We start from the raw sequence: 27072 nt of genomic DNA, 5'->3' as shown, positions 1-27072 counted from the left end.
CTTTGTTTGTTCCTTTTCATCCTTTTTTTCTCTAATCTTGTCTTCACTCTTTATTTCATTAAGTTGATCTTCAATCTCTGATATCCTTTCTTCCACTTGATCGATTCTGCTATTGATACTTGTGTATGCTTCATGAAGTTCTTGTGCTGTGTTTTTCAGCTCCGTCAGGTCATTTATGTTCTTCTTTAAGTTCGTTATTCTAGTTAGCAATTCCTCTAACTTTTTTTCAAGGTTCTCGCTTCCTTGCGTGGGGTTAAGACATGCTCCTTTAGATTGGAGGAGTTTGTGATTACCCACCTTCTGAAGCCTACTTCTGTCAATTCATCAAACTCATTCTCCATCCAGTTTTGTTCCCTTGTTTGTGAGGAGTTGTGATCCTTTGGAGGAAAAGAGGTGTTCTGGTTTTTGGAATTTTCAGCCCTTTTGTGCTGTTTTTTTCTCATCCTTGTGGATTTATCTACCTTTTGTCTTTGATGTTGGTGGCCTTCGGATGGGGTTTTTGTGTGAACGTCCTTTTTGTTGATGTTGATGAAGCTGTTCCTTTCTGTTTGTTAGTTTTCCTTCCAGCAGTCAGGCCCCTCTGCTGCAGGTCTGCTGCTGTTTTCTGGAGGTCCATTCCAGACCCTGTTTGCCTGGGTGTCACCAGAAGAGGCTACAGAACAGCAGAGATTGCTGCCTGTTCCTTCTTCTGGAAGCTTCATCCCAGAGGGGCACCCACCAGATGCCAGCCAGAGCTCTCTTGTATGAGGTGTCTGTCAACCCCTGCTGGGAGGTGTCTCCCAGTCAAGAGGCACAGGAGTCAGGGACCCACTTGAGGAGGCAGTCTGTCCCTTAGCAGAGCTAGAGTGCTGTGCTGGGAGATCCACTGCTCTCTCCAGAGCTGGCAGGCAGGAATGTTTAAGTCTGCTGAAGCTGCGCCCACAGCTGCCCCTTCCCCCAGGTGCTCTGTCCCATGGGGGTGGGAGTTTTATAGGGCTACTGCCTTTCTGTCAGAGATGCCCAGCCCAGAGAGGAGGAATCTAGAGAGGTAGGCTGGCTACGGTGGCTTTGCCGAGCTGTGGTGGGCTTCACCCAGTTAGAACTTCCCAGCAGCTTTGTATACACTGTAAGGGGAAAACAGCCTACTCAAGCCTCAGAAATGGCAGACTCCCCTCCTCCCACCAAGCTCGAGCCTCCCAGGTCGACTTCAGACTGCTGTTCTGGCAGCAAGAATTTCAAGCCACTGAATCTTAGCTTGCTGGGCTTTGTGGGGGTGAAATCCACTGAGCTAGAACACTTGGCTCCCTGGCTTCAGCCCCCTTTCCAGGTGAATGAACGGTTCTGTCTTACTGGCGTTCCAGGCATCACTGGGGTACGGAAAAAAAAAAAACTGCAGCTAGCTCGGTGTCTGCCCAAATAGCCGCCCGGTTTTGTGCTTGAAACCCAGGTCCCTGGTGGTGTAGGCACCTGAGGGAATCTCCTGGTCTGTGGGTTGTGGAGACCCTGGGAAAAGCATAGTATCTGGGCCGGAATGCACTGTTCCTCACGGCACAGTCCCTCACAGCTTACCTTGGCTAGGGGAGGGAGTTCCCTGACCCCTTACACTTCCTGGGTGAGGCAACGCCTCACCCTGCTTCAGCTCAGCCTCCATGGGCTGTACCACTGTCTAACCAGTCCCAATGAGATGAGTAGGGTACCTCAGTTGAAAATGCAGAAATCACCTGCCTTCTATGCCGATCTTGCTGGGAGCTGCAGACAGGAGCTGTTCCTATTTGGCCACCTTGCCAGCCACTGTGAACTGTGACTTTTTAGTGTATATGTGTTCATTCAACAAATATTTATTGGGCACCTACATATATGCCAGACATGTTCTACCCTTGAGATGCATCAGTGAACAAAGTAACAAAAAGCCCTTACATTCTAGTGGAGGGAGACTGATAATGAAATATTAATGAGCAAATAAAATTCTATAGCATATTGAAAGGTGGTAAGTACAATGGAGACAAAAAAGATGAGCAGAGCAAATAGGACAAGATGTGGAGGGATAGGGTCATTGCAGCATTCCACAAGAAGTCTCGTTGAATAATTAACAACTAAGCAAAGACTGGAAGCAAGTCTTCAAGGAACTTGCCATGTAGATACCTGGAAGAATATTCTATGCAAAGAAAACAACTAGAACAAAGGTGCAAAGCAGATATGTGCCTGTTACCAAAGGTTGTGTGGCTGGAGTGGACTCAGGGCCGGTGATAGTAACAGGGCAGGGCAGAGAAGTAACACAATCATGGGGAGTGAGATCATGGAGGGCTTTGTGTTAGGGCGATTATTGTTCAAATCAGGACATTTCTGAGAGTGAAACAGGGCACTGTTGGTGAGGGCAGTAACTGTGGAGTGATAAGTACCCAGATTCTAGATATATTTTTGAAGGTAGAGCCTGTAGGATTTTTTCTGATACGAGAGGATTTTTAATCAAGGATAACCATAAGACTTTTGACTTGAGCCATTGCAAGGATGGATTTTCCAACAAGAGAAATAGGGAAGTGGAGGTAAATCAGGTACTGTTAGCAGGGATTCAGGAGTTCAGTCATGGATGTATGGGATTTGAAGTGCCTGTTAGATATCCAAGTGGCAATATTTTGTAGGCAGTTACATGAGCAGGCATTAAGGAGAGAAGTCTGGGCTGGATTCATCAGCATGCATATGGACTTTTAAACCATGACCTTGCATGAGATCACCAAGGGAGTGAGTCTGGGTATAATAAATAAAGTTACCGAGAACTCGGTCCTGGAGCTACCCAACATTAGTGGTTAGAAAAGAAAGAACTAGCAAAGACGTTGAAAATAAGTAACCTTATAGATAACTGAGAGACAGTGGTGTCCCAGAAGCCAACTGCAGGGGGCGTGATTGTAGTATCAGATACTACTTATAGTTCAAATGAGTTAAAGGGCAGAAGTTAACCACTGGCTTTACCTATGTGGAGGTCTTAGTAGACCTTAGTAGACTTACCAGTTTTGGTAAAGTGATAAGGATGCTTATAGCGGGGTTAAGAGAATGAGAATTGGGGACTGTGAGTATGGACAGCACTTATAAGGAGCTCTCCTACACACAAGGGAGCAAATAAGGCACTAGCAGAAGAAAGAGTTGGAAGTGCTTTACATAGGGCCTTTGATGCTGGGCAAAAGAGTTTTTTTAATTTTAAGCATTTTTTTTTTCAAATTTAAGTAATATTTTGAGAAGAGATGATATGGATACTGGAGCCAGACTACCTGGATTAACGAATGTGATCTTGGACAAGTTACTTACCTGGGCCTCATTTTATACTTTGGATAAAGATAATAATAGGAATATTCTTAGCAGCTTACTAGAATTAAACAACCATACAAAGGGCTCAGCAGCATACTTGCCTGATGGGATTTGATAAATGTATTTTTATTACTTGTTATTATGCTCAATATTATCAGAGCTGTACCTTAATAATTTTAAAACATATTATTCTAGGCCCGGCGCAGTGGCTCACGCCTTTAATCCCAGCACTTTGGGAGGCCAACGTGGGCGGATCACAAGGTCAGGAGATCAAGACCATCCTGGCCAACATGGTGAAACCCCGTCTCTACTAAAAATACAAAAAGTAGCTGAGCGTGGTGGTGTGTGCCTGTAATCCCAGCCACTCAGGGGGCTGAGGCAGGAGAATTGCTTGAACCAGGGAGTTGGAGGTTGCAGTGAGCTGAGATGGCACCAGTGCAGTCTAGCCTGGCAACAGAGTGAGACTCCGTCTAAAAAAATATATATATATATATATATATACATATATATATAAAATTCTGCCATATTCTATTTTTCTCATCAATACAGAGAAAAGATGTAACAGACCTATCAGTAATAGATCCTAATAAACAGATGAGAGAATGGTGGAAGAGTGGGCAGCACCTATATTTAGAAATAACCAGCCCTCCCTTGAAGGGTAATTCTGATAGCATCCCCCATGAACATTCCTTTCCCCAAGTTAGGAGTCATTTACTGGATATTTATGGAATGTCCCTCTTGATCTCATTTGGAGTTCTGGTTCCAGTGCCACACTATCTCACCTGGAAATCAGTGCTAGTAACTCTTCCTTGGAGTATCGGTGCCACTGTAGGGCATAGAAATAATTTTGTGAGAACATCTTTTTTCTACTTCTGTGAGCTCAGCTCAACTTTGAATATTATTTGTTTCATTTAAGTTAAATAAACTGGCATAAAGACAGAGTTCTCTCCCTGCATTTCAGACCAGAAGGTCTAGGAAGTAAAACTCTTATCCAGTTCATTTTCTGTCTTGATACATTGTTCACTCTTGGGACAATCCTGGGCTCTTTCAGTTGGCGTTAGCTGCTCCTGCTGGCAGAAGTTCCAATTCCTTGCCCTGGTGTTTCTGGGTCTGTGATCTCTCAAATGTTGTATTTAATACATATTAAGTGGCAATAATAATTTCCCTCCCATTTCACTTGGCCTCATATCTTGGAATCTGGACTTGGCATCCAGCTTCTCTTTTTCACTTGTGTCCTAAAGTTGTGTATGCAGTCGGTTGGCTCTGGTAGAAAGGATTCCAGATGAAACATTAGAACCCCCTCCTTCCATACAAGCATTTCTTCAAGTCCTTAAGGTTTCTTGGAAGAGTTTCATGAGTTATTTTCACATGTAGCTGCATACTGTATAGAGAAATAGATTGGTTGCAAGAAAAACTGCTTCTATGGTACTTCCAACTTAGTCAAGAAACACTGGCTTTGTCACAAGCAAGCTTTTTATCTTGAGATTGCAAGTCTTGATTTCTCAACTGAAGGAGCTCAGATAAGCTACAGAGAAAGCAGCTCCACTCTGTGCTATCTTTACTCCTCTTTTGATGTTCTCCTCTCGCTGCACCTGGGTAGCTCAGCGCTGCCTCTTGTTGCATCTCCTGTAACCTTTACAAAATAACAGCTTTCGTGTAATCTCTGCTGCAAGTCACCTTCCCCTCCAGCAAGGGCCAAAGTGAACAAGGAATTTCCCCTGGAGGGAAGTTCGTAAGGAGAGTCACAGACAGTGGCCCAATTCTGAGCAGTCAATCAGTTACATTTTTCTTTCACCTGAGTGTAGCTTTGTTACAATCACAAAAAGGGAGTGATTTAATCATTACTTGTGCCTTCACAACTCTCATTTCAATGGGGAAAATCTTGGGGTGTCTTAGCTTTGGTTGCTTGTATCACCCAGTTTGTATTGTTGACTAAACAAATACTAGATGTTTAAAGAATTAAAATTTATTTAGAGTCTTATTGAGGATTATATTTTGGAAAAATTGTCTAGAGATACGTTTTGTTAGACTTTTTTAATGCAGCTTAAATTATAGTTTTTATGTAGGGAGTGAAGATCCAGCATGTATAAAATTATATTAAAATTTGGGCCTAAGAGTATATTTGGTTATAGTTTGCGGGGGCATAATTGTTGATTTTGGCAGGCATGATTTTATGTGTAAGAACAGGTAAGGACCAAGTTCATTTATTTTTTAAGGAATGTAATGTCTTAGGCAAGAGATGTGGGGAGCTGTGTGCCCTATCTTGTTTATGTCTTTAAGGCATTATTTTGGAGATCCATACTTAGTAACAGAATCAGGGAGACTAAAATTATGTTGGCAAGTAAACATGACTTCTTATATTTGTTACTTTTTTGTCAAATATTTGGAAAAAACAAAAGGAGTTTTACTGAGAACATGAAGAATTAAATAAGAGATTGTGCATCTCCACTTGTCGAAGAATCCTGAAACATGTTCTAGGACGTGCTTCATTCATCCTCATGCTAATTATGATATTAAGAAGAGGGAAGGAGCCGGGCATGGTGGCTCATGCCTGTAATCTCAGCACTTTGGAAGGCTGAGGTGGGTAGATCGCTGGAGGTCAGGAGTTCAAGACCAACCTGGCCAATATGGTGAAACCCCATCTCTACTAAAAATACAAAAATTAGCTGGGCATAGTGGTGTGCACCTGTAATCCCAGCTACTTGGGAGGCTGAGGCAGGAGAATTGCTTGAACCTGGGAGGCGGAAGTTGCAGTGAGCCGAGACTGCACCATTGCACTCCAGTCTGGGCGACAAGAGTGAAACTTAGTCTCAAAAAAAATTAAAAATACAAAAAAAAAAGGAATTAAGATTCTTTATTCTTAAGAAACTGTTAGGTGTAACTAGATAATACATCAAAGTATACCGAGTTCATTAGACAATGTTATTTTGATAAGGAATACTCTAAATTTTCTGAAAGAAAAATGGCTATCCATTTGTTTTTCTTAGCATTTTAGTGCCTGCTATGTGCTATACCACAAGTTAGGTTGCGATGATGTAAAAATCAATTGTATGTGCATTTCCACAAGGAGATTGGATTTAGATTTGTGAATAGGATTAATGGGGAATGTATCCCTAGCAAATGGGCTTTGATTTGAGGGAAGCAGAATATGGGTACAACTGATTGTATGGGTAAAATGTAATGGGAAGATAGAGAAAGGACACTGTTAGTTGGGTAATTGTTAATGGAGATAGTGGTACTTAAGCTGGAAGTGCAGTTAGAATATTGAAGACTAGATCAGGTCAGAAATGATGAGGCTCAGAATTAGGGTTGTGGCAGTGAAAAGTGAGAACGGGGCAGACAGATGTTGCAGAATGAGGTCAAAAGGATTTGATGATTCCATTGGATGGAGAGAAGTGAGGGAGCGGAGTTTAAAGACGTTTAGAAGATGATGGTGCTTTTCACTGACTCCCAGAACTGGGAGAAGTACTGATTTGAAATGAAGGGATTGGGGCAAGAGAGGGGTAAGTATTATGGGTGTGAAAGGAGAGAAGATGAGGATATGTTGAGCTTACAGTGTTGAAGAAGCTGAACAGTTAGAACTGAGACATCTTTTAGGTAAGATTTCTTTGAAAATGTATATTTAGAAAATACTTTGCAGGGTGGTGATATTTAAAGCCATAGAAGCAAAACAAATGGTCCATTGAGAGCGAAGGGCCAAGAGAGGGCTAAGAACAACTTTGAGGAATGCCTTTCTCCACTTACAGGATGCATAAAGGGAGAGATACCTTAGAAGGAACAGTTCAAACCATAGTAGTAGTGTCAGAAGAGTAAAAATCACAGATGTCAGGGTTGACAGCAGGTTTAACAAAAAGGAAATGATCAACTATGTCAAATAATTGAGAGAAGTGAACCAGATGAAAGTTAAGTAGAAACCACTGGAGCTGAAGTCTATAAGTTCAGGGCTGACCTAGAGAGCAGGTCTAGAGTATTTTGGAGTGATGGGAACAGATGCCTATTGCCATAAGCCAACATGTAAATAGGAATTGGGAACTATGAATTTAGTTGGGATTGTTGGGGGAAAAGGCAGAGGAATAAGGTTTCTCAAGGCTTTTTTTCCCCAGTTGGATATTTTGCAGAGGGAAACTTGATCATAAAATAGTTTTCACATCTAATTTCTAATATCTGAACTATCTGTATTTCTATTTTTAGTTAATTCAAGAGCTTCTTGGTTCCTCTTATCTAAAATATTACAATGATTAACTTTTGAAGAAAACTGACTGTGCTAAAGTATCTAAAAGATCACTCAGAGTAACTTCTGAAGAAAATTGGGTTAAAGGTGAAAAAGCCTCCTTCTCCAAGAATTTTGCCAGTCCTTAAGGAAGACCAGTAATTTAAATTTTCTTTTTATGATTTTTACCTTGAAGAAACTTTTCCACATTTAAATCAAATGATTTTAAATTAAGCGTGTTTGGGAGCTGGTGTTAAAGAAGGGCTGATAACTCTGAGACACTAAAGCTTGTTCCATATTAGCAGCTTTTTTGAAAATATCCTTGGTTGGGAGCTGCTACCCTGATTCTCACTCCACATATAATAAGAGTTTTGCTCTGCCTACTATAATTTATATAGCAAAACCCAAGGAACATATACTAGATGCATTGAAAAATATGACGCCCTGTAAAACAAGACTTAGGACAAGTGTTACAGAAGGCTTTGATTCCAAATCCTAATTATTGGATGGCAAACAATACACCAAGTACACTATAATAATGTTCTTCAAAGTTTTCCACTTACATGTCCCCTAAAGTGATTATTACAAGGATGTATTATCTTGAATATTTTTTTCATTAAAATCTAACATTTTTCATCCTAAGTTTAAATAATTGCAAAGGACATTCTAATACTTTAAATTATTTCAAGAATAACATCAATACCATAGTGATTTGATACCCTGTTGTCTGTTTTTAAAAATGCATGGAAGCTCATCATTAATAGCAAGAACTTCTACGTTTTTTCCCCTTGAACTCCTATTTTTATTAGACTTTCTTCCTTAGAAGTTTATCCTAAAGTAATGTATTCAATGATACAAAGCAATTGTGTTTCTCTACAGCAAAATAAGTATATATGTTGAAGTTATTGTTGATGAAACAAAAATATATCACATATTTTGATAAAGCTAATAAAACATTTAAGTTTTATTGAAAATTAGGTTCTGAGAAAGGGTTTCAGTTTTTAAAAAATTTAGTTATCACTGGATAGATGTTATTCCTAATAAATTCAGCATCAATTTAGTCCTCTTTCTCAATTATATGTGTGTAGACACCAAGAAACTTTTTCACAATCAAATGTAAATTGCAATTATTTTAGTGATACTCAGAGATACTCAGTTTTTTGAATTTTTAAAAAGTTCATTATATGCCAAAAAAAAAAAACATAGATCTCTGTCTCAAAATTATTAGGTCCTTCTTTGTATTTTTTGAAACAATCTGACTTATATAAGGATTTATTACCCAGCTGTTACAATCATTCATTTTTTAATTTCTGAGAAGTATGCCAGAAAATGATTACTGGCTTGATGAGGAGAAAAATCTGTAAAGCTCTTGTTGCATATATTGTCAAATTGCTTTTTAGGAAAGTCATACTAATTTATACTTCCATCAATGACAGTTGAGTGATAATCTCAATGTCTTCTCACCATCATTTTCTTTAATATTCATTAATTTCATGGGTGAAGAAATGACATTTTGCTGTTTTAATTTGCATTTCATGGATAACTAATGAGGCTAATAATGTCTCATATGTTTGTTAGTGAATTCATAAAACCAGGGGAGATATCTTTTTATATTATTTGTTTCTCTGTTACAGTACTAGTTATATATACTCTATAACAAATATATAAACTGTATATTTAGGACCCTTAGATTTATCATATTTGCACATTGAATGAGTATGTATAATAGAGAATAGAAATGTTATAGAAGAGCACCTGGCCCGCAGTAAATAATGTATAAGTCAACCAAACTCAGCAGCATTGTTATTACAATGATAAATATTTCTTCCAATTTGACTTTAAATGTTTTTATTTTAACATAATGCTGCCTTTTTTTTTTGCCTTGGTGTTCCAGAGTTCTTCTGAGCTGAGAGATTATTATTCAATAAAGAAGGTGTTATGAACTGTTTTTATTTCCCCAATATTCATTTGTTAATTTGGAAATGAGGGCTTTGGGAGATAATTAGGGTTAGGTGAGGTTATAAGGGTGGGTCTCTTAGGACTAGTGGCTTTTCTTTTTAATATGCAAGATTTCATCATGAATTAGTGGCCTTATGATGGGAAGAAAGAGAGATCTCCCTTCTTCTTAATGTGTATGCATCAAGGAGGAAAGGTAAAGTAAGAAGGCAGCTGTCTGCAAGCCAGGGAAAGAGTCCTCACCAGGAACTGAATTATCCAGCACCTTTATCTCATGCTTCCTAGTCTCCACAACTGTGAGGATCAATTTCTGTTGTTTAAATCATCCATTTGGCATTCTGTTATGGTAGCCTGAGATGATTACTATAGAAGGCTTCCTTAGAAATTATGAACTATTTGTCCTTGGAAAGTTGGTATAGTTACAAATAATGTTGATCCTCATCCTCTCCTTGAACATGTTGATTTATGCATAGGAATTACTAGGCAAATAGAATTTTCTTTTAGCCATTTTTAACTTGAGATTTCATATCAGTTTTTTTTCCCTAAGAAGTTAAATGATATTTAAAAATGGTCTATTTATGTCAAAATATATACACATAAACCTTTTTTTCCATTCAAGTTTGTTTTATTTATTTTTTTGTTTCTGTTTTTTTGTTTTGTTTTTTTTTTAATTTAATTTTATTATTATTATACTTTAAGTTTTAGGGTACATGTGCACAATGTGCAGGTTTGTTACATATGTATACATGTGCCATGTTGTTGTGCTGCACCCATTAACTCGTCATTTAGCATTAGGTATATCTCCTAATGCTATCCCTCCCCCATCCCCCGACCCCACAACAGTCCCCAGAGTGTGATGTTCCCCTTCCTGTGTCCATGTGTTCTCATTGTTCAATTCCCACCAGTGAGTGAGAACATGCGGTGTATGGTTTTTTGTCCTTGCGATAGTTTGCTGAGAATGATGGTTTCCAGTTTCATCCATGTCCCTACAAAGGACATGAACTCTTCATTTTTTATGGCTGCATAGTATTCCATGGTGTATATGTGCCACATTTACTTAATCCAGTCTATCATTGTTGGACATTTGGGTTGGTTCCAAGTCTTTGCTATTGTGAATAGTGCCGCAATAAACATATGTGTGCATGTGTCTTTATAGCAGCATGATTTATAATCCTTTGGGTATATACCCAGTAATGGGATGGCTGGGTCAAATGGTATTTCTAGTTCTAGATCCCTGAGGAATGGCCACACTGACTTCCACAATGGTTGAACTAGTTTACAGTCCCGCCAACAGTGTAAAAGTGTTCCTATTTCTCCACATCCTCTCCAGCACCTGTTGTTTCCTGACTTTTTAATGATCGCCATTCTAACTGGTGTGAGATGGTATCTCATTGTGGTTTTGATTTGCATTTCGCTGATGGCCAGTGATAATGAGCATTTTTTCATCTATTTTTGGGCTGCATAAATATCTTCTTTTGAGAAGTGTCTGTTCATATGCTTTGCCCACTTTTTGATAGGGTTGTTTGTTTTTTTCTTGTAAATTTGTTTGAGTTCATTGTAGATTCTGGATATTAGCCCTTTGTCAGATGAGTAGGTTGCAAATACTTTCTCCCATTTTGTAGGTTGCCTGTTCACTCTGCTGATAGTTTCCTTTGCTGTGCAGAAGCTCTTTAGTTTAATTAGATCCCATTTGTCAATTTTGGCTTTTGTTGCCATTGCTTTTGGTGTTTTAGACATGAAGTCCTTGCCCATGCCTATGTCCTGAATGGTATTGCCTAGGTTTTCTTCTAGGGTTTTTATGGTTTTAGGTCTAAGATTTAAGTCTTTAACCATCTTGAATTAATTTTTGTATAAGGTGTAAGGAAGGGATCCAGTTTCAGCTTTCTACATATGGCCAGCCAGTTTTCCCAGCACCATTTATTAAATAGGGAATCCTTTCCCCATCTCTTGTTTTTGTCAGGTTTGTCAAAGATCAGATGGTTGTAGATATGTGGCATTATTTCTGAGAGCTCTGTTCTGTTCCATTGATCTATATCTCTGTTTTGGTACCAGTACCATGCTGTTTTGGTTACTGTAGCCTTGTAGTATAGTTTGAAGTCAGGTAGCATGATGCCTCCAGCTTTGTTCTTTTGGCTTAGGATTGACTTGGCGATGTGGGCTCTTTTTTGGTTTCATATGAACTTTAAAGTAGTTTTTTCCAATTCTGTGAAGAAAGTCATTGGTAGCTTGATGGGGGTGGCGTTGAATCTATAAATTACCTTGGGCAGTATGGCCATTTTCACGATATTGATTCTTCCTACCCCTGGGCATGGAATGTTCTTCCATTTGTTTGTATCCTCTTTTATTTCATTGAGCAGTGGTTTGTAGTTCTCCTTCAAGAGGTCCTTCACATCCCTTGTAAGTTGGATTCCTAGGTATTTTATTCTCTTTGAAGTGATTGTATACACATAAACTTATGGACACATGAGTGATAGTCAAATTTCAATCACTAATGTGGCATGAGCACTGACCCACCAGAATGGCCATGGTAATTCACCATGGAGCAGTATTGCATCATCCTGAGTGAGAGTGAAGAAGAATTGAGGTAGAGGGAAACTGATAGATGTGTTTGAGATTTTAAAATTATTTCTCAAACTTTTACACCAAAATATATCCTGGTACATGTGCAACTTCTATGGCTCTGTCAGACTCATTTAATAGGAAACTACCCACAGAAGAAAATAAGGAAAACGAATTCTGTAGGTAGAGAAATGTAATGACTAAGATTTTAAATGTTATGACTAAGATACATGTTTAGTTGATAAAAATTAATAAAAATAAGAAACTTTCCTTCCTAGGGCAGCATAAGATCATTTCAGAATGAAGATGCTTTGGGATCTGACTTCGGACTGTAAGAATGACAAACTCTGAATGGGTGCAAAGGTAGCAGATGACCTTCAAAGGATGGTAAGTACAAAGCCATCGATTTGGGAGAAACACAAAATTTCAAACACAAAATGTGTTACCCTGAGTCTGAACCTAGAAGAGAAGCTTGGTGGATAACATATAAATTGTTACATAAAGACAAAGACTCAGTGACCTGTTGTGGACAAAAAGAAAACTGAGCATCTAGGCTTATTTAAAAAGATGCTAAAAACGAGCAGAGACTGTGCTGTATAGAGCTATGGTAAAGCAACCCATACGTATCCCATCTGGATACAATAAATGAGATAATTTACACAAAATACTTTGTAAATTGTACCCATCATTTGTGAATGTTAGTTATGATGACAGCAGTGGCCCTGATGCTGTTGTAATAGAACCAGAGCAAGAGTAGGGCTGACAGTGGTGGCCTGAGGGATGCTGTCAACTGGAAAAGATGCTGCTGCTTCAGCTGGAAAATCTGAAATCATTGCAAACCATGGAATTGTGTAAATTTTTGAATTAGTGAACACGAGGTGAACATTAAGAGTTAAAGTAGATAATGCATTCAGGAATGAGATGGTTGGCACCTTGAGAACAGGGTCTTTTTTTTTCTCATCAGGTGTCTCCAATGTTTAAAAGCCAGTAATTCGCACATAATAGGTGCTCAGTGGATATTTGTGGCTAATACACTCCTAGAACTTACCCACATGTGATAGATAGGATTCTAAAGGGATTCAAAGAAGACAAGCAAATCTAGCAACCACAGAGGCAAGTCTAGCATCCACAGATAGGTAGGATTCTAAAGGGATTTGAAAAACTCAGGCAAGTCTAGCAACCAAAGAGGGATTCAAAGAAGATAGGCAAGTCTAGCAACCTGCCAATGCTGTGTCTTCACGTTAGGCATTTGGCAAGTCTCTGTGTCAGGTGGCTGGAGGCATTGTCCTGGAGTGGCCATTTTTCTATTTAATTAATTGTTTTTGTACTTAGGTACAGGCATTGCATGCAAATAGCAGTAAGATACTGACTCTTCTCTCAAAAAATAATATTGATGTTATTTGCCTTTATTGGGCAGTTCCTTTGTACCAGGCAGCATGTTATGTGCTTTATATACATTGCCTTTTAATTTTCACAGCACACCTAAGAGGGTGATATTTTTATTTCCTTTTTCTCAGTTGGCAACTCTCTCTCCCAGGTCACATGGTTAAGTGGCTGAGCCAGGATTCAAACTGACAGCAAAGCAGTGCCGTAATGTTTACAACCTAATCCGGGAGACAAAACCCCAGTGTTCTAGTGATGGGAAGAAGGGAGATACTGCACCACTTGGAAGGATAAGGAAGAGGCTTCTTTCTGTGGGGGCACTGAGTGGGACCTGTGTGACAGGCCATGGCCAAGTCTGTCATGCTCAGTACCTCCTGGGCCCTGTGGCTCTGCAGACGAATGATCACTCATCTATGAGAACTAGGTGCTATTCTGTAGCTACAGGCGTGAGACTTAGGCAAAAATCAACTGAGACTAATTCAACCATATGGCACTGATGATCTTTTTAAGGTAATAACACTATCATTTCAAAGTGACATAGATTTAAAAGAGACTCGAAATACCCCAGTGCCAGGCTTCCATGACATGTGCACTGGCATCTACACCTGTTCCCTGGTAAGGAGCCAGCACATACCAGAGAACCTGCACCCTGAACATCCCCACCTTGGTGTGATTTTGTCACTTTTACTAAGAGCCATGCCCTTTAAGCTTAGGAAGGTACAATATAAGTTAAGATTTATGAGCCTAAGCACATATACTGACCATTTTCCAAACCTTGGCCTTGAAGTCCTGTGTCATTTATTTTTCCAACAGGTCTAATGTGATCGAGTGTAGCAATCAGGAGATAAAGAGAGGGAAAAGTAATCTGGACACACTTTAGGATCTCTAACAAATCCACAGTTTCCTTTCCCCATTGCACATGTTCTGGGAGCCATGTTTGTGGTGTGGGGCTCACTATGTGTAATTGGACCAAGAGTGGATGCTTGCCTTGAGATGGACGGTCCTTTTTTCTTGGGAATTTAGAATTTGGACTGGGCATCCTCTTGTCAGTCTTCACACACAGGTGAAATGGCACTTGGGACACTCAGGGTTTCCTTATCCCACCATAGGGACTGAACAGAGAAAGGGAAGATTTTTTCAAAACCAGGGGGAGGATCTTGTAATCATTAGGCAATGGGGAGCCATTGAAATGTTTTTTTGTATGGGCATAACCTGTAACCAATCATATCTAGTTTGCTGAAGACATCTTATACTTTATAGTTCTGAAAATTTCTAAATTCATCTTATGGCAGCTATTCAAAGTGCCTGTTCTACGTACTTTGCTGAGACAAAAATCCAAGTTCTTCCTTCCCATAGCATTAAATGTGTTCTTCTCAGCCTGAGTTCATGGGACATCAAAAGGGAAGAATGTGGATTAGGCAACTCTCCCATTCTCCTCCTGAGGAGGCTTATTTATGTAAGCCTTCTTTTCTTATCTTTGACTCACACTCCCTTGGCTTTTGGAAAATTAGATTACCTATTTTATTTTCCTAGCCATATGCAACTTATAAACCTTGGCAGTCCAAATCTATTGGAAAGCTCAGAAGTACTAGTCTCTCTTAGTCTTGATAGTATCTGATGAGATTTGTCTTCCTAATTTTATTTGTTGACAACAGCGTCTTGTTTTAAGTGGTTCTTTTTCGCACTCCAATAGGAGGCACTCAATCCTCTCTGGAAAAGACTGCAAACAGAGTTTCTTTCCCCTTTTCATCTAAGGAGAGTTAATGTGCCTGTATTTTCAGAGAAGGCAGCTGCAGTTCAAGAGTATGCCCGGTGTTCTCGTTTATCCTCCTCCTCCTCCTGTGGGCTGTTGGATTCCTGGCGACAGTAAGCCGGACACTCCAGGAGATGACCTCTTCTTGTCGATACTGTCATTCTGTCTTCCCCTTGGCTCTGACCTATATCTTCCCTTGCTGGCTCTTAGTCTGCTCTTTGCTGACACACTTCGACTGCAACACAATTCCCCATCCTTGCTTGAATCATAGGCGAGTGTGTTCTCTGCTTGGTAAAGATGACTTGATATTGACCCTAGTATTCTCTCTGCTGCTTCCTTTCTGGTCTCTTTTCTGCCTCCCTTAACTTTCAGGATGCTATTTCACAATTTCTTGAAAGATAGTGGACTGAACAACATATAAGAAAAAAAGGCTACAGCATAAATAATATAATAACAACTATTTGAGTACTTTGTGTCATGCACTGTGTTAGCACTTTGCAAGCATTTTCTCATTAAATTCTGATGAAAAGTCATTATGTAATATATTTCTGTTGTTATCTTAATTTCAGAAGTGGTAACTGAAGCTCAGAGAGTTTACATTACTTTCCCAATGGTAAGCCTAGTAAATGATAGAGCCACAACTTGAGCTCACTTGCCATGCCCAAGTCTATTCCTATACTCAATACTATTCGACCTCATTGCTTGGAGACACAAGAAAAAGCACTTCTGAGACCCTCAACATTGTTCATTTTCATAATATTGCATCTTTGGCAACCAAATGTCACTGTGGTGATTTTGTTTCTCCCTGTTTCCCTGTTACTAACATCCAGGGCCCAAAGTTCCCTCTGAGCTCGCTGTCGTCTCTTACTAATTTAGCAAGAGGTGTGGAAAGACCTATTTTCTCAACCTAATCAGACAGTGCAGAGGGTAGCTTCTTATCCTGTTGTGCTTAGGTCAATGTTTTATCGGTTTTTAAATACCTTGTTTTAGATATAATCAATACCTTATTTCCTTTTAAGCAGTAGCTCTGTAATTTTGTATTAGGAATAGATAACACAGAGTTACAATGCCAGTAGCCAGCACTGTTTATGTACCCAACATGGTGATTTATGTGTATTCTTACTGAATCATTGCAAAAGCTAGGTGAGGCTGATAATAATGTGATCTTCATTTGACAGAGAGGAAACTAAGACTCAATACAATAGCAAGCTTCTATCACCTTGACTACTGCATCATTCTCCCAAGTGGTCTTTTCACATATTCTCTTGCTCTTCACTCTTTTCCCACATTATTGCAAGAGTGATATGTTTCAAAATGTATGTCTTATTAGGCCACTTTCCTATGTAAGCCCTGTCAGTGGTTTCCAATTTCCCTTAGAACCAAGTCCAAAATCCTTTATGTGGCTTAGGAGAATTGCCGTGTTTCACCCTGGACCAAGTTCTCACTCTTGTCTCTTAGCTCTTTGATCAAAACTTCTGTAACCCAAATCTACTGGTTTTCTTTCTATCTCCAGTAGGTGCCTAAATATAAATTATATTATTTGTCTCCCAAGTTATTTGAATAAAGCTTGAACCCCAATTTGGCTATTCCTTATTGTGCCTGCTCCACTGGCAAATATAGTTTTGTAGTAGTTTCATTCACATCTGTTCAGCTGTTGTAGTTTTAGCTGTTTCTCATATTCAACCTGGTAGGTTGAATATTATCCTTCCACCCAAAAGATGTTCAAGTCCTAAGTCCTGGGACTTGTGAATGTTATTTTATATGGCAAAAGGGATTTTGCAGGTGTGAATAAATTAAGGATCTTGAGATGGGAAAGTTATCCTGGATTATCTGTGTGGGCCTGATGTAATCACAAGTCTAATGGCTCTAATAATGGCCCTACTAATGGCCCTAATCACCTCAACCATTTACTGCTTCTTTAAGATACTTTAAGAGGGAGGCAGGAGATCAGAGTAAGAGTAGTAGGAAATATGGCAACAGAAGCAAGAAGGTGGAGTGATAAGAAGGGACTATGAGCCAAGGAGTACAGGGAATCTCTAGCACTGAAAAAGGCAAAGAAACAGAGATCTGAAGTCCCCAGAAGGAGGACATCCTGCTGAAAACCTTATTTTAGACTTCCAATCTTTAGAATTGTAGGAGGATAAATTTATCTTGTTTTATGACACAAAATTACTTGTCACTTGTTAGAATAGCAATAGGAAACAAATACATGCCATGACCCAACTTTCAAGATTCTAGAAAACCGAGAGACTGAAGTCATTTATTTAACAAATATCTTCTGAGTGCCAGGTACTCTATCTGAGACATTGTCCTTGTGGTTTTATTTTTGTATACAGAAAGACAGAAAAAAAAATAAAGACCATATTGGAGTTATTAGTACTATACATTTAGAGAAGATTAAAAAAAGAATAAGAAGAAGATACGATGGATCTGTAGTGCCAGGGAGGGGAATTGCAATTTTAAATAGGATGGTCAGTGCAGGCCTCCTTCAGAAAGTGAGCAATGTGAAGGAGTTAGCTATATGGATCTCTTAGGGCATTCACCAGGCAGATAAAAAAACTAGTACAGAGGTCATAAGAAGGGAATGTGCCTGGATATTCACAGAACAGTAAAAAGGCCAGTGTGGCTGAGGCAGCGTGAGTTGGGGTAGAAGAATAGGATAATGAGGTCATAGAGGTACCAGTAGAACCAGCTCTTGTCAGGCTCTCCCTGGAGTACTGTGGGTTACCACTGGAGGGGTTTGAGCAGAGCCATGGCATATACTGATGTAAGTTTCAAAAGGCTATTGTGTATCCTATGCAATAGATGTTGGTGGCTATGACGAAAATGGTAGCTGTAGCATCAGTGAGAAGTGGTTAGACTGGTATTTGTTTTGAAGAGTAGGGCTAATAAGGTTTCCTGATAGAATGAGTGTGGAAATGTGACTCTAAAGTGTTTGGTCTAACCAACTGGAAAATGAGTACCCATTAACTAAGACGGAGAAAACTATGGGTACAGAGAGAGAGAGCACAGATCAGGAGTTCAATTTGAGATGTGTTTGACATTTAAGTAGAGGCATTGAGTGGCAGTCAGAAATCAAAGTCTGTCCATCAAGAGAGGGGTCTGTGCTGGAGATATGTATTTGGGGGTTGACAACAAGTAGATGGCAAACTGATAAGGCAAACGAACAGACAGGGATGGGCAAAGGCTTTCCCATAGGATTAGAGTGGAGGAGGTGAGGGGCGATTAGGAAATATGGTAGAAATGATTGCAAAGTAAGTAGGAAAAATATAGTTTACCTTAGAAAATTATCTATGTCTACATATGAGAAGACATTAATTCTCCATGAGAGATTAAATCACATTTACATCAAATCTTTTTGTTATTTCTCTAGTCAACACTAACAAAATGCCACATAATGAGCTTATTTTAAGATCAATATTTGTATTTCTCTTCTGAAACTCCCAGGGCTAACAGTTCCATTTTCCAGAGCCCTGGAAATCTCTACCCATTGTTTTTGAAAATACACATTCTATAAGATGTGAGAGACCAGTATGGTGACTTGAAGCAGGGATGATAATTTTGTGGTTTGGGGAATGAAATTCATGCGCTGATCCAAATTGCACATTTTGTAGCTTCCCCCTCATCTGATGAGTGGTTCTACTCTGTTATTTGGCTGCAATTGGATGATAGCACTTACCATATGTTTGGCACTTTATATTTTCTGAAATCCTTTCAAATATACTCTCATTTATCCCTCACAATAGTCTTAGGAAGAAGATAATGTCATTCTCATTTATAGATGAGGAAACAGACTCAAAGAGGCAAAGCAATTTACCCAAGGTCATTAAGCAAATTTTGAATTTGACTCAAACACAGGGCTTCCAGTTCTTTCCCTGCTTCTTTTAGGTACTCGAGAGTCTTTCAATTGATTACTTGTTTTTAAAAAATGTCAGCTCAAGGTAAGAGAGGAGGTAGAGGATATTTTCTGGGCTTGTTAGACATTCTAGCCGTTACAAAGCTCTGTAAGGTTGTATAAAATGTAACATAAAGAAAATAATTGTAAATAGTATACTCTTTGGCAATTTCTTTCTAATTTCTTGTGTGCTTGCCTCCCACATATTAGTTGGAACCTAGGGCATAAGTGTTTCTTGATTGTTCCAAAGCTGCCTTGAGATTGGTTGAACCTGGAAAGTCATGCCATGGCCATTGAAGAAGACAATTTGGGTGCCCTGGCTGGCTGACACGGCATGGGGTTTGCTTGGTTATTTGTTGCCACGAATGAGACTTTGGCTTTAGAAGCATCAAGTGTGGGACCACCTGAGAGCACTGAAAAAATAGGGGAGATTTTGGGGAGCAAAAGGTCCAGGAGAGAATAAGCTGGTCCTGATTGCTGAGTCCCCACTATGTGGAAGGCATCAGAGGATGACTGCAGACAGTAGTTGGAAAACGAAAACAATGTTTTTTTAAATAAGGTACACATATAGGTGGAGATGAAACAATATCCCCTAAATGGCAGCAGGAGTAGCAGATTTAACTAGATGCTTCCATGTGAAAAAAATGGCGATGTCAGGTAGTTTAGTCATGTGTGACAGGAATAACCCATTAAAGAGAGCAGCCTGGGAGAAATGGGCTGGTGGAGAGGGGAACATTCGGAAAGCCCACCTTCCACCCCCAAATATGGAGAGTTATGTGCAAGGTCTACGTGTTTTAAAAGAATACTGTTTATTTAATATAATCACATATACCCAATCTAAATAAAATAGGATATTCTCAAAAGCATTAGTATGAGCACTTCATTACCCTTTTAGTAACTGGGGAGAATATACCTATTTTACTAATTTTTCCCATGTTTCTATATGGCTGAAGAAAGTTGGAAACTAGTATTCACTTAGGGTAAGTTGGAAGATATTGAAAGGAGATAATGGTGACAATATGTTTTATAAAAGTTTTGTTCTGTTATATAGAACAGGAAACTAAATCTTAAAGAGGAAAATTAATTGTATAAGAAACTTTAGATTAACATTTAGAAGAGAATGAAGAGAAAGGGATTTTACCTTTATTAAATTCTTACATATTAGTTGCTTTACATTTTAGTTTAATCCTGGCAATCAAGCTGTAAGATACTATGCTCTCATTGACACACAGGGAAATTCAAAATTAAAGACCTTCAGGTCATGTAGCTGTCTAGTTGTAGGTTGAAACCAGGTCTGACAAATGCCAAAATTCGTCTTTCTTTTCATTCTGAGAGAAGATGTAAAACTCTGTTTAAAAATTCTACATTACCCTTGTTGTTTATTTATTAAACTACTTAAGGAACATACTTCAAAACGGTCTTAAAAAAGGTGCTGTGATTCTCTGTCAAGGGAACCTGTTACCTGTAGGAGTCATCTCTTGCCACTATTTAACTAATCCCAGGCTGTTTCCATCTGTTTGTAGTTGCAATAACTATAAATCGGTAAGCATGTGTATGAGGGACTAAAATAGGTTCACTAGGAAGAACACAGGCCAAATAAATCTCAACTTTCTTCTCTTTTTAAACTAGGATTAGTGGATTAAGAGACTGTCCTTGAAATAGCATTAAATTAGGCAAATATTTGACTACATCTTTCTTGTTTCCACTATAAGATTGTAAAATGTGAATTCAATTATAGTATGCTTAAGCAACCTTACCCAAACAGTTTTGATTGGTGATTGTTTTAAAAACTAGAGAGAAGCCTCACACAGGCTGACATAGCTCAAGTCAACCTTTTTTTTTTTTCTTTCTTCTTGTACTGGAAAAGACTGAACAACATTTTTTGTTGTGTTGTTCACAAGTTGAGTGGAGAAAAAAATAAGCTTATCAAATCAACAAAGTGTGGACAACTGTTTATGAGAGACAAGTTCAAGTGAAAGATTATTACAGGAGTTTTAGCAGGCTTGGTTTTGGACTGAAGCTTGCTGAAATCATAGATGTACACAGGCAGATTAGGAGAGATGGAGGCTAGAACTTGGGATGAAGCCAGGACTTAGGGGACTTGATCCAGCTGTAAGGCCACTCTTAGAAAAGGAAGACATGCAGTCCAGATACCTGTCCAAAAGGATACTGTGAACCTCAGCTTGATTGAGCAGCTATCAATATCTACGGTAGTCCAATCTGGTGGGCAGAACAGAGCCAGTGAAATTTTCATATAGAAGGTGACAGAATGAAGTTGAGATGCCAAGTGTTCTACCCAGTTAGAACATGACCCTGGCCAATAGCTAAACATAAAGAAAATCAGGTCAAGCACTTATCCAGAGGTGGCTAGCAATCAGAAAACTAAGGTCAAACCCAGTAATGCAAATGCTGATTTCAGGAGGGCTTGTGGGGAAAGTGCTTCTGTCCAATGGGTCCTACTTAGGGGACTACAGCAAATCCTGTGGGACATGAGATTTCAAGGATGGGCTGAGAAATGCATAGTTTACCAAGAGCTGCTAAGGTAAGAATAGCCCAAGCCCAGGACTTTACCTGTGGTTGAGGAAGAATTACTGTTTAGGTAAAATTGGCCTGCAAACTCGGTGTGTTTAGCCTTCAATGTCAAAAGCTATACAGAAACAATGAAGATGAACTTCAAGAAAATTATGAAGTTGTTTATTAGAATCTTTAAAAAATTGTGAGTACACAGGCTTGGTGCAGCTCTCTGGGCAAAAGTTTCTGTGAATTGAAAAAATTGTTCTTTAGCTGAACATACATTTAGTATACTCTACATGAAGCAATACATTTGGGAAAAAAAGGCAATTATTTGAAATTCTGTCAACTAAAGTTAGGGAGAGTCAAGCAAGAGAAGACCTAGCCTCTAAATCCTGCATTTTCAAATTATCCTGAGGAATTATATTAAGTTATGCTAAGTACATTTTAAGAGGACTCGTGATAATCTAATTTTTATTCAGAGCATGAGGACCAGGATGATGAGAAATATGGACATGATGTCACATGAAACATGGTTGCAAATAACCCAGAAGGAAGGAATGGGGCTACTTAGAGTAGGTATGATAGTAGTCTTCAGAGATTTAAAAAGGTAGGTGGAGTAGGGTAGGGAGGCAGACAAATATTAAACATATGGAGTAGAAAACTCCAAACGACTGATAGTAGTTAGAGCAGCCACCACTCTTGGGGGCCTGCTGCTCCCTCAACCGCCAAGCACAGAAATAAAGGACAATCTTGAGTTCCTTCAAGGAAAGTTTCAGCACCTGCCCATCCTTGAGAAGGAAATAGGCAACCTGATAAGCAAGCAAGTAATAATAACTTAAGAAAATAGCCAAGGAAGTTAGAGTCACAAGATGTTTGTTTTTCTGTAGAAACTAAAGATAACATCTTAACATATGTCCTTGAGTTGTTTTTCAGAAACCTAGACCCCACCAAATAGACAATGCCATCTGCCGGCACATAGACCTCAGATAAGGGGGAACTGAGGACTGAACTCCGATGGCGGTTCTATGTCCTAAATTTCTTCCTGAGAGGCCTGGAGAAAGTCATTCCCACAGGCCAGACACTAACATTCATTTCTGCTGACCCCAAGTTTTTAGACAAAGTTTCTCTTCTTTAACCAACAGCGATTCAGAGAATCTTTGAATCTCCCTATGATCTGTAAGCCTCCACTTCAAGATATCCAGCCTTTTTAGGCCAAATCAGTGTATAACCTCCATGTATTGATTCATGATTTTGCCTTTAACTTCTGCTTTCCTTAAATATACCCCTGCCTTTCAAAACCCTTGCTTGTAAATCACCAGGGAGGTTGAGTCTTAAGCATGAGCTTCCTGATTCTCCTTTTTTGGTGTCCTGCAAGTAAACACCCTCCTTTCTCTTGCTGTAAAACCTCTCTGTGGATGTTTGGCTTCAGTGCACTGTATTGCACTGAGTGAGTAGACCTAGCTTTGATTCAGTGACAGTAGAAATTCAGTAGATATTTGTTATATTAAATAAGAAATATCTTTCTAACAGTAAAGAATTCCAATATTGAGTGGGCTGTCCGGGAGCAGTATTCAAATAGAGGTGAGATGACCATCTTTCTGGAAGCCCCATAGCATTCTCTCATTGTGTGGACTCTTTGTTGCAAAAGCAAATAACTAAGATCTCTGGCAAAATATTGCCCCAACGTTTAGCTTTGCTTTTGTAGCAGAGATCTGCACTAAAACTTTAGCAATCATACTGTGTTAGATTATTACTCTAATGTGTTATATCCTGCTTTACAGAGATGCCATAACTCATTCCGAAGTAATTATAGCTTGTGATTATTGTGGAGAACACTTACTTGGGAATTAGAAGATGGCTGACTCCCAGTTATTAGCATGGTGATATTGAACAAGTCATTCTATCTCTTTGAGTCTTATTTTATCAGCTGTAAAACGAGGATAATAAGCCTATGTCAGTGAGTCAACCCCTTCAACAAACATTTCCTGGACAGTCACTGAGCGCCAGGCCCTTTGCTAGTGTCTGGGGATGCAAAGCACTCTCTGCCCTCAAGGACTTCAGTGTTTGGTAGGATTGTTGTAAAGAGTAAGTGTGTTGAATGAGATGCATATAACAACACTGGGCGCATAGAAAGCCACTATATAGATGTAATATAGTATTATTTGTGTCAGTGAGTAGTCATTAAGCACTGAATGTGATAGACCCTGTACAGAACATATTAAACCATTGTACCAGAGCTATAGTCTTACTTTACTTTTCATCTTTTTTCAGCTACGTGTATGTGTTTCTAAGCAAAACTTCTTGGAAGAAAAGGAAATTCTTAGAAGCAATTAGAGTATCACACCCATGCTATACCCTTTGATTCATTAGCTTGCTCTGTTTTTCTGTTATTTTGAAATTACCCAAGTGGAAGCAGAAAAACTGCCAGGAAAATGTCACAGCCACCCCTTACTGAACAGCAGAAACACCAGCAAAACACCAACTGCAACATGGTGTATTTTGAAGGTAGACCAAATAGCATTTTCTGATAATTTGGATATAAACTGTGAAAGAAATATATAAGACTCAAGGATGGTTCCAAATATTTTGGCTTGAGAGACTGAAAATATACATTTACCATCATTTATGATAGGGAAGCCTTTAGGGAGAAAAAGCTTGGAATGAGATAATAAAGATTGTAAATTTCAGTTTTGGGATATATTTAAGATGTCTAACTTCCAAGTGGAGATACTAGTTAGGCAACTAAAGTGTGTGAAGCTGAAGTTCAGGAGAGAGGTTTGGGTTGGAGATATAAATTTGAGGGCAGTCAGCATCTTTAAAGGCAGGAAGCTGGGTGTGATCACCAAAAGAATGAGTGTGGATCAAATAATGCCTAACAAAAGGTTAGGTAACAAAAGCAAAAATAGACAAATGGGATCAGATCAAATTAAAAATTCTTCTGCACAGCAAAGGAAACAATCAACAGAGTGAAAAGACAACCTTTGGAATGGGAGAAAATATCTGCAAATGATATGTCTGAAATGGGATTAATATACTAAATATATAAAGAACTCAGACAACACAATAGCAAGAAAATAAATAACTCCACTTAAAAATGGGCAAAAACCCTGAACAGTAAAGGAAAAGAAATATATTTTCCTTACTCATCACAAGGTACATGATTGTGGCTCCTATAACAAAAGACAGATTAATTTAAAAATTACAAATTTATTTAAAATAAGTTTTATGTGACTTGGGAGCCTTTGGAAATAAACTCCCAAAGAAACAGAGAATGTGTATTTTTATGCTAAATTTGATGAAAAAGCAGATAGCTACAGAGAAGTATAATTGGATAAAAGGGGTATGATCTAATGGTAATAAACTAGGAGAAACTTAACAAGGCCTGTTTGTTCAGATTCTTCTCTGTTTCTGTATGTCTTCAGAGATAAGAACATTCCTTTTCTCTGTGTATAGGATGGGTGCCTCTGGAATGAAGGCCTTATTCAGGGCAGGAGGGTGGGAGACAGTCAGAGAGACCTTCCTGCTTCTGCTGTTTTCTCAAATTGTAACTGTAATAGGTTCATTGCTTAATGCACAGTGAGTAAATATACCGAGACACCAGGGGTTGCAACAGAAAAAAAGTTTAATAATTGTAGGGCAGCTTGACAAGAAGAAACCTCAAATCTACCTTCCCAAGAGGTTTGAGGGTAGGGGTTTTAAGGGGTCTGGATGGGTAATAGGCTGAAGTGTGGGGATTGCCAGTTGGTCAAGAAGTGAGATGTGAAATCATCGGACAGGGTGATATAGAAACCGCATTCTTGTGCTGTCAGTTCCCTTGTAAGGGGAGTCTTCAGACTGGTTAGCATCAGCCATTCTGCTGGAATTAAGGATTTAAAAATACCTTACGCAATTCTTGGCTGAGTGTGGTGGCTCACGCCTGTAATCCAGCCCTCTAGGAGGTCGAGGCAAGATCACTTGAGGTCAGGAGTTCGAGACCAACCTGGCTAAGGTGGCAAAACCCCGTCTCTACTAAAAAATACAAAAATTAGCCAGCCATGGGTGGCGCGCATCTGTAATCCCTGCTACCCAGAAGGCTGATACAAGAGAATGGCTTGAACAGCTTGGAGAGCAGAGCGAGACTCCGTCTCAATAAAAAATAAAAAATAAAATAAAAACGAAAAATACCTTAAGCAATTATTGAGTACAAAAGGTTTTATAATTTTATATCACAAATCTTATCTATGGGAACAATGCAGGAGCCGGGTCAGCATGCTCTACGTAGATTCTTAGTCAGCAGCTGTAAGAAAGTGGATCTAGGTTCACCAATGCACCCTGGTTAATGCCTAACTATAATTCTGCTGAAATCTTGGCTTATAATTCTCATCAGCCTTGTAAGGGTGGTTTCAAAATGCCAACGTGTCATATTTTGAGGTATTATGTCCTGAACCCCATCAATAGACATCTTTCAAAAGAAGACATACAAATGGCCAGCAGATATAGAAGAAATCTTCAACATGACTAATCATCAGAGAGATACAAATTAAAACCACAGTGAACTATCACCTTACAGCTGTTAGAATGACTGTTATCAAAAAGACAAAAGGTAACGAGTGTGGGTGAGGATGTGGAGGAGAGGGAACCCTTGCACGCTGTTGGTGGGAGTCACAAAGTCATTATGGAAACTGGTATTGAGGTTTCTCAAAAAATTAAAAATAGAACTACCATGTGATCCAGCAATCCCATTACTGGGCATATATCCAAAGGAAATGAGATCAGTATGTTGAAGAGACACCAGCACTCACATGTTCATTGTAGCACAATTCACTATAGCCAAGATAAAGATATGGAATCACCCCAAGTGTCCATCAGTGGATGAGTGGATAAAGAAAATGTGGGATATATACACAGTGGAATACTATACAGCCTTACAAACAGAAAATTCTGCTATTTGTGACAACATGGATGAACCTAAAGAACACTATTTAAGTGAAATGAGCCAAGAATGAAATGACAAATACAACATGATCTCACATATATGTAGAAATTCAAAAAGTTAAAATGTTTAACTCGTAGTAGCAGAGGGTCGAATAGTGGTTACCAGGGGTTGGCTGGGAAGGGATTGGGGAGATGTTCATCAAAGCTTACAAAATTTTGGTTAGACAGGAGGAACAAGTTCAAGAAATCTATTGTACAAAAATAACAATGTATTATATGCTTGAAAATTGATGAAAAAGATTTTATCATCACAAATATGTGAGATAATACATATGTTAATTAGGTTGATTTAGCCATTCCACTACATATACATATGTATGTTTTCAAACATCATGTACACCATAAATATCTACTCTTTTTTCAATTTTTTAAAATTAAAAACTTTTTCTTGAAAAGTATGAATCTAAAAGAGATAAGGGCCAAAAACAGATATAGAGCACACCAGATTTTCAGAAGTCAAGAAAGAGAAGAAAAGGAAATGAGGAGACAGGATGAAGACCCAGCAATGTATTAGATAACAAGGACTGACCAAGTATATCAACCTATCAG

The 27072-nt window shown here is 38.9% G+C and overlaps 1 long non-coding RNA gene across 15 annotated transcripts in view; it reads left to right on the top strand.

The window, feature by feature from the left end:
- The first annotated feature begins 882 nt into the window (after nt 1–882).
- The window catches only part of LOC102723409 (uncharacterized), a 77085-nt gene continuing 50895 nt past the window's right edge, over nt 883–27072 (top strand). For 7 of the 15 annotated variants that reach the window (XR_007059756.1, XR_007059761.1, XR_007059757.1 and 4 more), the window contains exons 1-2: nt 12399–17907; nt 23821–24054. This is a non-coding gene — a long non-coding RNA (uncharacterized LOC102723409). The other 8 variants (XR_001743860.2, XR_007059765.1, XR_007059754.1 and 5 more) reach the window with 3 other exon arrangements.

The sequence above is a fragment of the Homo sapiens genome, chromosome 6 (assembly GCF_000001405.40).
Source record: "Homo sapiens chromosome 6, GRCh38.p14 Primary Assembly".
Classification (NCBI taxonomy): Eukaryota; Metazoa; Chordata; class Mammalia; order Primates; family Hominidae; genus Homo; species Homo sapiens.
Note: the sequence above shows the minus strand (reverse complement) of the source record. Positions and strands in the feature narration are given on the sequence as shown.